The 12485-nt window shown below is 48.5% G+C and overlaps 1 annotated feature.

Annotated features, from left to right (window-relative positions):
• Window positions 596-1795: an enhancer, noted in NCBI's record as "MED14-independent group 3 enhancer chr15:70145330-70146529 (GRCh37/hg19 assembly coordinates)". NCBI's record gives its function as "activates an origin of replication core promoter dependent on BRD2, BRD4, P300/CBP and CDK7 cofactors, and independent of MED14, by STARR-seq in HCT116 cells {active_cell/tissue: HCT116}" and the evidence as "EXISTENCE:reporter gene assay evidence [ECO:0000049][PMID:35650434]".

Below are 12485 nucleotides of genomic sequence, written 5' to 3' on the forward strand. Positions count from 1 at the left end.
AGGAGGCTGGCGCTTGCTTGGCAGCTGCCTGCCTAGTGAAGACCCCATGCCCTTCATGCAGCCTAGAGGTGGGGAATGGCTGGGAGCCCGGGGATCTTAGGAGCTCACCCAGAACAGTACCTGATGGCCTGCCTCCAAGGCCCCTCCTTCAGTTCTGGAAACACATGAGATGCAGGAACCTAAAGTTCCCTAGTGGGGAGGGGATAAGGGATGGGATGGCAAGAATAACTGATAAAACTCCTCACCACACTGGAATGTTGAACCACAGACTCAGATTTAAGATGACGGGAATAAAGAAGTGTGTTTCTTATACATCTGCACTTAAGGACTCAGATTCCTGTTAGCACAGACAGAAAGTATTTATTAGCAAGCCCAGAACAGAGTAAATTTTCAGTACATGAGAGCGATTCTCAGGGTTCCTCTGCAGAATGGGATATCACAGTGTTGATGTGAGGGGTAAGGAAGCTGTTTATTTATTTTCAGTACTTGGAACAGCCTGGCACATAAATAGCATCATGGAAGTATTTGCTGTCAATCTTTAATTATTTAATTTCAGTTCACTTCCTCCTTGTACAGGAAGGGCTCAAGGACTGGAGGGCTGTTTTGCTGAGGTTGAACAAGGGCATGTGCTGAAGGACCTGTGGTGTTCCCACCACCACATTAGCAATGCCACTGTTCCAGATTAATCTACTGCATGGCACTGGTGGAGGGTCAGTAAGCATCTTTGGGCAGCTGCCCACATACCTGGGGGGCAGAAAGAATTCAGTGGAACTGGCGATGATTTTAAATAGGATGAATTTGTCCTCCAAGGTGGTCGTGGTTTGACCTCACGTTGGCTGGGGAGAGGGGGCAGAGAGTTTCGTATGCCTTTGCCATATGCTGTCATCTGTCAGTGCTCAGAGGGGGCAAGTGACCTGGGCCAGGTGGTGCCCTGAATCAGCACCAGCCAGGGTGAGACTTAGGATGATAAAGAGCACTGGAGGCGAGCGAGACACCACCCTGCCTGTCTGCAAAGATGCCGAGGAGTCCAAAGAGATGGCATTCAGGCGAAATGGAGACACAATCTGAGAATTAAAACCCTTAGAGTGAACCACAACCAGTTTGGAGCCTGGAGGGGAGCAGGTGTGGCAAGGGGACTAAGGTGTGAGCAGGTAGCATCTATATGTGAGTCAGGCTGCTAGGACAAAGCCAAGCTGGCGATTGTAAAAGAGGAGACCAGACGCAGGCAGGGCCAGCCCTTAGGAAACAGTCCTTACTCTCTCCTAGCTCTGCGCCCTGGGCCCCTCCAAGGCTCAGCTGACTCAGCCAAGTCTGTGTCCCTTCTTAGAGCCTAACTCTGTTCCTCAGCCCTCCCGCCCAGTGACACTTCGTAGGACTCATTGCCCAGGAATCCTGCTCAGTCATTGCATTGCCCGGCTCTGACCTGGGATTTCACAGATCAGTGACATTCAAAATGCAATATAATGGGACACCAGCATAAGAGGCCAACTGTTTCCTTTGCCAAGTAAGGTCATTTTCAAAACCTCATTATTCCCATTGTTCTATAAATAAGGGGATTCTTTTTTACTATCTGAATATTGGAAAGACATAACCTTGGAGTTGTCCTTGACGACCCTTCTCTCCCACCCACATCCAGGCTCTCAGCAGGCCCCAGCTGCTCTGCCTAGACTGCATCCAGGTTTGGTTGGGATGCTCTTTAAGAAAAAGAACGTCAAATGCCAAAAAGAAAATTAGACATGAGACTGAGTATTAGAGTAAGAAATCACAACACATCACAAATCACATTTTAAAAAGCTGGTGAAAACACAAACGTGACAAAATCCAGGAAAAAAAAACCTCACTATATTTCATTGTGTTCACTGATATGCCATTAAGACACTTTTTTCTTGTATTTTTGACTGCATAGTCTTTGATTCTTCTCTTCTTATGTCAATAATTTTGTGTTTCTTTAAATAGAGAGAATAGAAGGCCCGTTCTGTCTTCCTTTTGGGATTGGCCATGGCATTTTATTTTATATTATTGATCATTTGGAGAACTTTTCTGTCAGCTTCATAACTCATTGCTCTTAGGTAATGCAATTTTTAAGACTGATGCCAAATTTGGGAAACCGTCTATCAGATTCTCTTCCTATATGAGCTGTCAATGTATCGTGCGTTCATAATTGCATGCAAAGGATTATGGAGTGTATTCCAGATAGGAAAGAATTTTTTTTTGGCCAGACAGCGATGAGAACCAGATCCCCCACTTAGAAGTATACATAGCTGATGACAGCAAGAATTTTCCTTAGACAAGCTTCCTGCTCACTACATTCCAACCTTGTTTCTCCCCTACCAGGTTTGAATGTAATGAGCAGGAAGCCCGTCTAAGGAAAATTCTTCCTGATCTTTCTGATCCACAAACGTAATTTGGTTTTATCAAAAACTTCCTGCATTCTTCTTGCTTCTCTCACTCCGTTGCAGGCTGCAGTGAAAGCAGACTTCCTTGATGAGTCGGGGAAGTGGATGATATCCCCGAGACCCTGGTGGCTAACCCTGGCATGCTGTAGTATCTTTTCAAGATGATTGCCTTCAACAAGGGAGAAAAAAAATTCTTCCCTGTGGAATTCTGAGCACAAGGAAGACTGGCTGAGGGGAGAGTCCGTAGGGGGAGAGGCCTTGCAGGGCATGCCCACCGGCTTCCTGACCTGCCTGCCCCCACTGGCTCTGCCCTGGGCAACTCTGCCTGCTCCAGCCCTGCAGCCGAAAGGGCCACAGGGATTCACCCAAGAACTTGCCCCATGCCTGGATGAGAAGCCTCAGTGATCCCTGATGATGTGGCCATGAGTTCAGGTACAGTCTCTCTCCACCTCCACCCCCAAATTTTGGAGAGTGATTTCCAGGTCTCTTCTTTTCTCTAAAAAGTAATAATAAGGCATTCTCGCTTGGGGAAAAAATGATTAAATTTCAAATTACTCTGCTTGCCAGATAAGATTGAAATCTCTGCATCCCAGCAGGCCGGAGACCTGTTTTGCACACAGGAAGCTCCAACAGCAACTTATTTGCCACGTAGCGGGTTGACTGAAATGGAGCAGCGTGTTTAAAACTGCATTAAGGGCGGCAAACACGGTAATGAGGGCATTTGTTATACTGTAAGGAGGTTTCCAGAACATGGAAATTACCAACATGGCGATTATGATTGTGAACTCGGTGAGGGAAATCAAATCCATCCACCGCCCCTCTTCTCCTCCCATTAAAAGGCAGAGAGTGAATAGGAACAAGAGGCCTTTCAGGGTCTTTGGGAGGGAGGAGTCCTGGAAAGTTATTAAACACTTTAATAATGCGGGGAGTTGTGGCTTCAGCTCAGGTTTATGGGGGCTTTGATCAAATCCAGCCTCACAGCAGGGCCTGGTTCCCCAGGGAGACCCAGGGGAGAAAAACCACAAGGCAGGAAAAGGCTGGCTGAGACCAGCCTCAGATTTCAAAGCTCCGTGCAGAGGACGTATTGTAACTGGCTGGTGGTTCCAGTTTTCTTCCAAATGGCTTGAGGGCAGGGCCCAGTGTCTCTTTGCCATTCAGACTTGTCACCAAACTCAGACTGGAAGCAAGTGTGTGTTTGTGTTTGTGTGTGTGTGTGTGTGTGTGCATATGTGCAGAGGATATGCCAAAATCTAATGATGGGTATACATTGTTGACAGTTATGTACAGACAGGCCTGTGTGTGGTGTCCCCGCTCATACTTGAAAAGGCATCATTCCCAGAGTTGGTAAGATTGACATCTAATCACCACAGCCACTCAGCTTAATGTACTTAGCACCTTTGAGCCTCAGTTTCCCCATCTGTAACCTTACATCCCTTCCTCAGGAAAGCTTTCCTGATCACTCACACTAGTTGAGGTCCCCTGACAGCAATCCTGCATCTCCTTTAAATGGCATTTCTCACTCACACCCATCTTTCCTGAGCAGCAGCAAGCTCTGTGAGGCCAGCACCCACACAGGACCAGCCCTCAGTATATATTTAAGTCCCCCATCTCAAAAAGCTACTTTTATTCAAAAAAAATTAATTTTAGGCTGGAGAGAGTCTGTTTTAGTGAATTGATAACCACAGTAAGCATTGATGACAGCGCAGACATGATGGCACTTTTCGTTATGCCCCTGTACTTTGCATCAGGACTGGAGCCCTCTAACATTTACAGGGCCAGGAGCAAGAAGGTAAGTAGACATCCCAGCCCATGCTGGCTCCACCCCACTTTCATGCCTGTGGATATTCCCATCTATAGTCCATCTCCCCTGACAAACAACCACCCCTCGAGCCACCCCTTGGGCCCAGGGCCTGCAGTCATTGGTGGTGTGGTCAGACCTCAGGGAGACAGATATAGAAGAAGACTCGCTCAGGCCCAGGAAGCATGATTTGGGGGTCCTGGACTCCAGCTTGTGATCTAGAAGGAAAAGCCATCAGCTTGGAGTGAGCAGGGCCCCCTTACCCATGGATTCGTGGTCCCCTTCCCTAGTGCACTTCTATGCAGTGCAATGATGATCTTTACTTCCCCTTTATCTGTATATCCTGTGGACTCCTTCCCCACAGGGTGCAGAGTGGCCAGAGGTGGCCCTGGCTCCCCTTTTACCCATGGATCCTATGGACCCCTTACCGCCAAGGTGCGGTGTGGCCAGAGGTGGCCCTGGCTCCTGTTGCCCAGGTCTCAGGGTGGTGCAGACTTGAGCACAGGGAAAGACACCACTCCTTCCGCATCATTCAATCTGAAAATGGACTGTGGAGCCTAGCAGCTTCATATTGGTCGGTCATCCCTTTGGATTGAACATTGGCCCTACAAAACTTCTCTTTTCAAATGCAACTCTCTCTTGCTGTCCTCCCCATCCCTCTTTTCCCATGCAGGGAGTGGGACAATATACCAGGCCCATTTCTGGCATTGAGGATGGAACCGGGGCAGATGGGAGGTAAAGAAAAAGGAGAAAACGTGTTTTTTGTTTTTTGTTTTTTGTTTTTTTTTTGCTAACTCTGAGTTGAGCGTTTCAGGAGTGGCTTGGGTTGCCAGCATTGGGGAGTGTGACGGAGCCAATGGGCCATGAAATTTCAGAGCATCTTGTGGTTGAAGTGGAGGGGCACACCAGGAAGGGGCAGCCACTCTGCAGTTTCACTCAGATCCTGGCTGAGACCCCAGCCCTCACCTCCGGGAGCCTGCAGTTGTGAAGATACGTTCTTTCTAAATGTGTCTCTATATCTAGGCACATCTAAATATGCTTAGCATTTGACCTGCACATAACGAGAGCTCAAAAAATGCCTACTAAATAAAGAAATAAACAAATGCAAGCGTGAGGCCAAGGCCGGCTCCCAGCATTGCTGACCCTCAGCCCACCATGTGTCTCATCTTCTAGGCAGGGCTTATGTTCCAAACCAGCCTGGCATCCTCACATGTGGGACCCTCGGCCACAACCCAGCTTCCTGTTGTAAAGATAAAAGGCTATTTAACATTTCCTGTAAATTGCACTTAGGCTCCGGATCAAAGGGTCCCGCTGGGACTGCTATTTCAAACCTCAGTTCTCTTAGTGAGGAGCTCCCCGAGCCAGGGCGGTCGATACTGACAGAGGGAAGCCTCTGCTGCCTGTGGGGGTGCTCAGGCAGACATACTAGGCCCTTGCCCCCAGGGGCTTATCCCAAGGGGTTGGTCACCCCATGTCCATTAGAAGTGCAGATCAGGAAAGGAGGGTCTCTGAAGGCCATCACTCAGGTGTCAGGGAATGAAGGCAGCCAGAGCGGCAGTGAAGGACACACAGCATGCTGCCCAGGAGCAGTCCTTGAGTTGCAAACCACAGAACAGCTTGGGACTGGATGAGGCAGGGTCCTTGCTGGAGAGATGGCAGGAAACTCACAGGAGGGCCCGTGGCTGAGAACCAATCTGAGAAACAGAATGAGAGCCAAGCCAGGCTGGTCCTGGAGCTCCTGGCTAGGGAAGCTGTGGAGAAGGATGTTCTTGGACCTGCCCCTACACTCCTGCTTCTCACTGGGCTCCAGTGGCAAAGCCCTGGGAGGGGTGGGAGCTGGGCTCAGCTTGGGGCCTGGGCCTGCCCCTAGCTGGGGTGAGCAGCCCCTCCCTCGAGAGCCCCTCCGAGCCTGCACCAGAGGGAGAGCCTGGGGGCATCGGGCAAGGAGGGTGTTCTCTGGGCAGCGAGGAGATCAGCATGGGCAGGACTCAGGCAGGGCCTCTTGCTGGGGGCTTGGCCTCTTGCTGGGCACTTGGTGTCTTGAGACGGGCTCCAAATGGTAAAAAGCATAAGCACCTCCTCCTTTATGGTTTTATGAGCAAATGTGTGATTTCCCCCACTGTTGTTTTGGAGACTGTTGAAAGCCTGCTTCCATGTAACCCAACACAGCCAGCTTTTCACTACTTTACCCCTCTCCAAGTCTTTTTTCACCTTCTCTTTCCCCTGGAAAAGTGGAACAAATTAGGCAGGCAGGTGATGGGATTTTATGCACCCAAGTAGGCCAAAATAGAAAAACTATAAAGGCCAAGCAGTCTTCAACTCTAGGTACCCAGAGGATTCCTTTACTATAGAACAGCACCCAGTTAGTTGGTGTGTAGGTGCTCACACCTGTGGTCTCAGCGCTCAGAGGCTCAGGGAGGAGGATCACTTGAGCCCTGGAGTTTGAGGCTGCAGTGAGCTGTGATTGCGCCACTGCACTCAAGTGTGGGTGACAGAGTGAGACCTCATTTCTGTTTTTTAAAATAATATTTTAAAGAAAAAATAAATAGCACCCAGGACTCCCTAATTGCTGCTTGTTAGAACAGGAAAGCTCAACGTTTTAGAATGATTTTCATATGAAATGGTTAATACTTTTAACAATATATAGTTCTTAAATTGAGAACCTTAAATTAGCTGGAAATAAACTTTTTGGAGCCCCTCTTGGATCTCCAGGCCAGCAGGCATTCATTTTTTTTTTTCCTTTTTCTTTCTTTTTTTTTTTTTTTTTTTGAGATGGAGTTTCACTCTTCTTGCCCAGGCTGGAGTGCAGTGGCATGATCTGGGCTCACTGCAACCTGTACCTCCCAGGTTCAAGTGACTCTGCTGCCTCAGCCTCCCAAGTAGCTGGGATTATAGGCACATGTGACCACACCCGGCTAATTTTTGTATTTTTAGTAAAGACGGGGTTTCACCATGTTGGCCAGGCTGGTCTTGAACTCCTGACCTCAAGTGATCTGCTCACCTCCGCCTCCCAAAATGCTGGGATTACAGGCTTGAGCCACCACACCCAGCCTCACATTTACTCTTACCAACACAGACACACAACTGGGGTCTGGGGAGCGGAGATAGAGTCCCCCTTTGTTCTTTCCATCAGGCCAAGAGTTGTCATTGGAAGAGCACCAGACAGGGGGTTGAGTGGGTCTGAAGATTAATATCAGCCCTGTCAGTAAGAGCTGTGGGACACTGGGCAAGTTACTTCAACAAACCCTGGCCAGCCTGAGAGAAGAAGGGGATAGAAAACACTTGGAGTTAGTTCTGAGAATTAAACGAGATCCTATAGGTAAAGCCCCTACCACAAGGCCTGGTGTAGAGAAGGTACCCAGTGAGGTTAATTGAATGGAAAAGTGGGGGAGAAGGAAAAGGGTGGACTGGCGGATCCCCGCATGGTGTAATAGCGTCCCAGATCCTACCGGACCTGCCAGCTGCTGCCTGAAATTCTACCATTAAAGCATCTTCCCTTTAGCCTGAAGCACTGATTCCAATTAAAATGCTAATTATCTCCAAGGGTTCTACTTTTCAATTTTTTTTTTTTTTTTTTGCTAGTTTTTATCATTGACCCAGAGTGTGAATGAGGGATCTGAGAGCTGCTCTTCATGAACAGAGGTTGGAGAGGACAGCCTATTCCTCCAACAAGCCAATTTCTGCAGCCCCATGGCCATCGTTTCCCATCTGGTCCCTACCTTGGTTGGGGTGCCCTTCTCACGAGCACCTGCATCCTCCACACCCACTCCAGCTGCTGTGCCTTTGGGCTTGTCTTTCCTTCTGCCTGGAGCGCCCTCCTTGCTCCTCTCCGGCCCACCCTCCAAGGCCCAGCTCAAATCCCACCTCCAGCTCACGGCTCTTTCACTTTCCTCTCCTCCAGGATATCATCACCCCCATCTGCTTTAGCCGTTAATGAAGGATGACAGTGTGCAGTGCGATGGTGATTCTGAGAAAGGCTTGTGTGTGGATAGCAGCTCCAGTTCCCAGAGGTCTTCCATAGGCAGTATAGATCACGAGGCCAGTGTCATGGGAGAGAACATGGTTCTTGGAGCTGGGCAAACTGCTCACATCCCAATTCCACCACCATGGGACCACATGCATTCATCAACACCTCCAAGACCCGGTCTCCTCCTCTATAGGATGGAGAATCAGCATGAGGAACAATGTAAGAATGTAGATAAAAGGCCTGATATTTAATAGGGTCCCAGAATACCAGCTGCATCTTCTTTCTCATGATAGATGATAACACTCAGCCTGAGCATTATTATCCCCATTGGACGATAGATAAACTGAGGCCCATGAAGGTAAAGAGACTTGTCCAAGGTCACATGGCAGCCTGGTGCCCCAGCCAGCGCCTCCCTGGCTCCTGCTCTCTGAAGTGGAGCTGTCTGGGTCGATTCGGCCAGCTGGGGGGTGCAGGAGGATGTGAGGTGACCAGAAATAAGAGGCAGCTGGAGGGTACAAATCAGCAGCCCGGAGAAGCCTCTGCTCTGGGGATTAATTAAACAGAGGCTTTCATGTCATCTCTCTAACAAGGTTCTCCGTCTCCCACGGTTTTGCTGGAGTGGAGTTAATCTCGGTTTCTCTCTGCACTTCAGCTGTTGATGCTGAGGCGATTATGAAGTGAGCAGCTGTCACCTCAGAGGGGAGGGAGCATGGGGCAGAATCGGGTCAGCACTGTAAGGGTCTGTGCTCCTTTTTTACAGGTGGGGAAACTGAGGCTGGAAGGGACTGGCCAGAGGTTTCTTTGCAAAGAGCTCCCCATGCCCACTAGCCAGGAACTGACTTGGGCAGGTGAAAGTCCAGGAGAGAAAGTGAAGACGGCATGGAAGCCTGTGTTCATTCCTATGGTCATTCTCAAACATTTACCCTGGGGCCCAACTCCCTACTAGGCCTGGGAGCCCAGGGGGAATGCAGGAAGGCTTTCTTGAGCAAGTGTTGCTTCTTGCTGAGTCTTGGAGGACAAGTAGCATGTTAGCTAGAGATTTACATTCTGGACACTAGAGACATTTGGGGCTGAATAATCCTTTGCTGTGAGGACTGCCCTGCACGTTGTAGGATGTTTAGCAGCATTCCTGGCCTCTGCCCTCTGGACACCAGCAGCACCACCATCCTTCCGCCCCCTACCAGTCGTGACAACCATAAACATCTCCAGACATTACCAAATGTCCCATGGAGAACACAGTCACCTCTCATTGAGAACCCCTAGATAAATTAAGGAGGGGCATTCCAGACAGGGGAAATCCCGTGAGACACAGGAGAAGGTTTGACACTGTTGGGGAATCACAAGGTTTGTCCAATGTGAGTGAGACATTCCTTCCAGGCTGTGGGGGTGGGCGGAGAGGCGGTTGCAGACATCCTCAGGGATATCTAATGAAAGGCATTGTGTGCTCAGCTCAGGCTCCTGTAAACCGTTCTGGAAGTTACTGTTCTCTTAATCTGACCTCTTCAGCTGACAGCAGGTTTCTTGTCTTATCCACCTGTGTGTTGAAGCCTCAGCAAATACCCTGGGGGTTGAGCTTCTGCAGGAACTCTGAGACCACATTGTCTCTGTGGGGGCTGCACACACAGCTGGCAGTTGCGCCTTCACCTTTAGAATAATCACAGGCATCCAGATCACACCGTGTCCCTTTCCTGACTCAGTTGACATAAACTTAAAGTTGATTTGTTTAAGTGATGACACAAGAAAGAATGTGGGCTAGAAGAGGGGAAGGGTGCAAAGGCATTTTACGACCATCCAGGCATGAGGAAGCTGATTAATTCCCACTTAATGAGTATATTAGATTCCCTCTTCAATCAAAACATCTATTAGAAAAGTCACCTATACCAGATGGATCAAGGAAACAGATGTTTTCAAACCTTGACCAAAGATTAGCCAATGGAGTCTTTTAATTGATGCCTGCCTAAGTGCATGTAAGATAATATTCACTTTAGGAGGACCAGTTTGTCCACAATGTGTTCAGCCAAAGACATTGCATGAAGCGAGTCACCCCATGTTAGTCTGTACCTAATTCCCAACCCAAATACACTTGACTATTTTGGTCTAGACCACACTTGATCATCACAAACAGCCACCAAATCCCTCTCCTCTCCTATTTACGGATGGAAACAGCTGCTGTATTTGCATGCCCTGCTCCTTAATATAAACACAACTCTGATTTCCTAACTTTCTTTGGGGAATTCCTCCTGGGCGTCCATGTTTATTTATGAAGCTGGTGTGGAAATACAGCAGGCACCATTGTACTTTCTGGGGGTTTAGTTGAGGTCAGCGGTGGAGTGATAGCATTACTTGGATGAAGGAGTAGAGCACCCCAATGCCAGTGGGCCACCCCCGTCTCCTAGGCATCAAAGCCCCATCCCCCAGGCCAGGATCAGATTTTCCTTGAAAAGGATCTTCGTGCCATGGATTATCTTATCTTTCGGTTGCTTCATTTTGCTTTGCCTGCCAGGCAGCTCAGAGGTTAATCAGATCTTATCTCAGGCTCCCAAACAGTTCTTTCTCCCAATTCTCTAAATGGCTTGAGAAACCTCTTTGGTTTATTTCTTTCTCTTTTTGGCTACTTTATATATGTATTACTATTGTAAACTCCCTTAAATACATTCAGGAAGTAGATGGGGTATAAGTCACGAACAAATAAACCTCAAATGCACTAAACATTTCCTCCCACCTCCATGAAAATGTAGCTATTTTTTGTCTTTTTTGCTGGAGGATTCCTCCTGTATTAGAGAGCTGATAAAAATGGTGAGATGGAGTGTTAGCCCTGGAACGGACCATTTCTTCTAGGAAAAAGGAAGAAATTCGCATTATGAACTGCCCAAAGTCATTTGCCTGTATTTTCAACACAGAGAGGAGAACACCAAGGTCCAGAAAAAAAGAGAAATGTTTTTTTCTCAAGCCAAGACTAGAGCCCGTGTCTCCCAGCAGCTCCCAGCCTGGGGCTCCATGCATCACTGCCCTGCTGTATCTGTGGGGCTGATGAGGCACTGCCAGTCAGTGAGTTAACAGAGACCTACTCAAGCCAGTTTCTTGTTCCTACAGGGAAGTTCTACTGGTGGGAATGTCAAAGGGAAATCAGAGATTTTAGCAACCCAGTTCACTGTTTAGGTTCTGAGCACATGGGAGGACCTCAGCTGTGGTATTCAGACAGCTTGTTGTCAGCCTGTGTTACAAAGCCTTGTGTTGCAATGTGACAGAACAGGTTGGGAGCAAATAGGCCCGGGCTTTTAACCCAGAAGGAGAGGGCAGCAGCTTCTAAAATTTAGGTAAGGTTAAGAGTCAACCCCAAAAAGGACAATTCTGGCTTCTCAGATTGGGACATCTGGGCCTACCTTCTGTACGATGCTTGGATTTCCTATAGTAATTTGACCATGTGTTTGCCCAGCCTCACCTTGACCATCTCCAGGGACAGAGAATTCATTACCTACATGGGGTTTGAGCCAGCTGAAACAGAGAAGAACAGGCAGGTGGCGGATGTCCTGACTCCCAGGGTCCTGGGTCCCCCAGGTCAAAGAGATGTAGTGAGAGAGCATTTGGGTGGTGTATATTTCTAGAACAAAGGGAGCTCCCCAGCTGTCTTCTGGGACCCTGCATATACCATGGGTACTGGCCTGAGCTGGTCCCCCTTATTAAGGCAGCCATGGGTCCTTGGATCACCTCCCTCAGGAGTCCACTGTGCAGTGCCTGGCCTGCCTTAAGAGATGAGAGTGGGATGCTGAGGGCTGTAGCCAGGAAGAGCCAAAATAAAGGCTGGAAAATAAAGCTGCTTTTTATCCTAGACATCTTCTCTGTGAGAGGGAGATCGGGAATTAGGTTTGGGAGGGGTGAGGTACAGGGTTCTGATTTGTAGTTTTTGATGATTCCCATGGTGTATTAGTCTGTTCTCATGCTGCTGAGAGACATACCCAAGACTGGGAAATTTACAAAAGAAAGAGGTTTAATTGGACTCATAGTTCCACATGGCTAGGGAGGCCCCACAATCATGGCAGAAGGCAAGGAGGAGCAAGTCACATCTTACATTGATGTCAGCAGGCAAAAAGAGAGAGCTTGTGCAGGGAAACTCCCGTTTTTAAAACCATCAGATCTCGTGAGACTCGTTCTCTATGACGAGAACAATGCAGAAAAGACCTGCCCCCATAATTCAATCACCTCCCACCAGGTTCCTCCCACAACATGTGAGATTTGGGTGGGGACACAGTCAAACCATATCACATGGTGTAAATAATCCCACCAGGGTCAATTTCCAGCTGCCCATGTGAGGCCGCTACTGCAG

The sequence above is a fragment of the Homo sapiens genome, chromosome 15 (genome assembly GCF_000001405.40).
Source record: "Homo sapiens chromosome 15, GRCh38.p14 Primary Assembly".
NCBI lineage: Eukaryota > Metazoa > Chordata > Mammalia > Primates > Hominidae > Homo > Homo sapiens.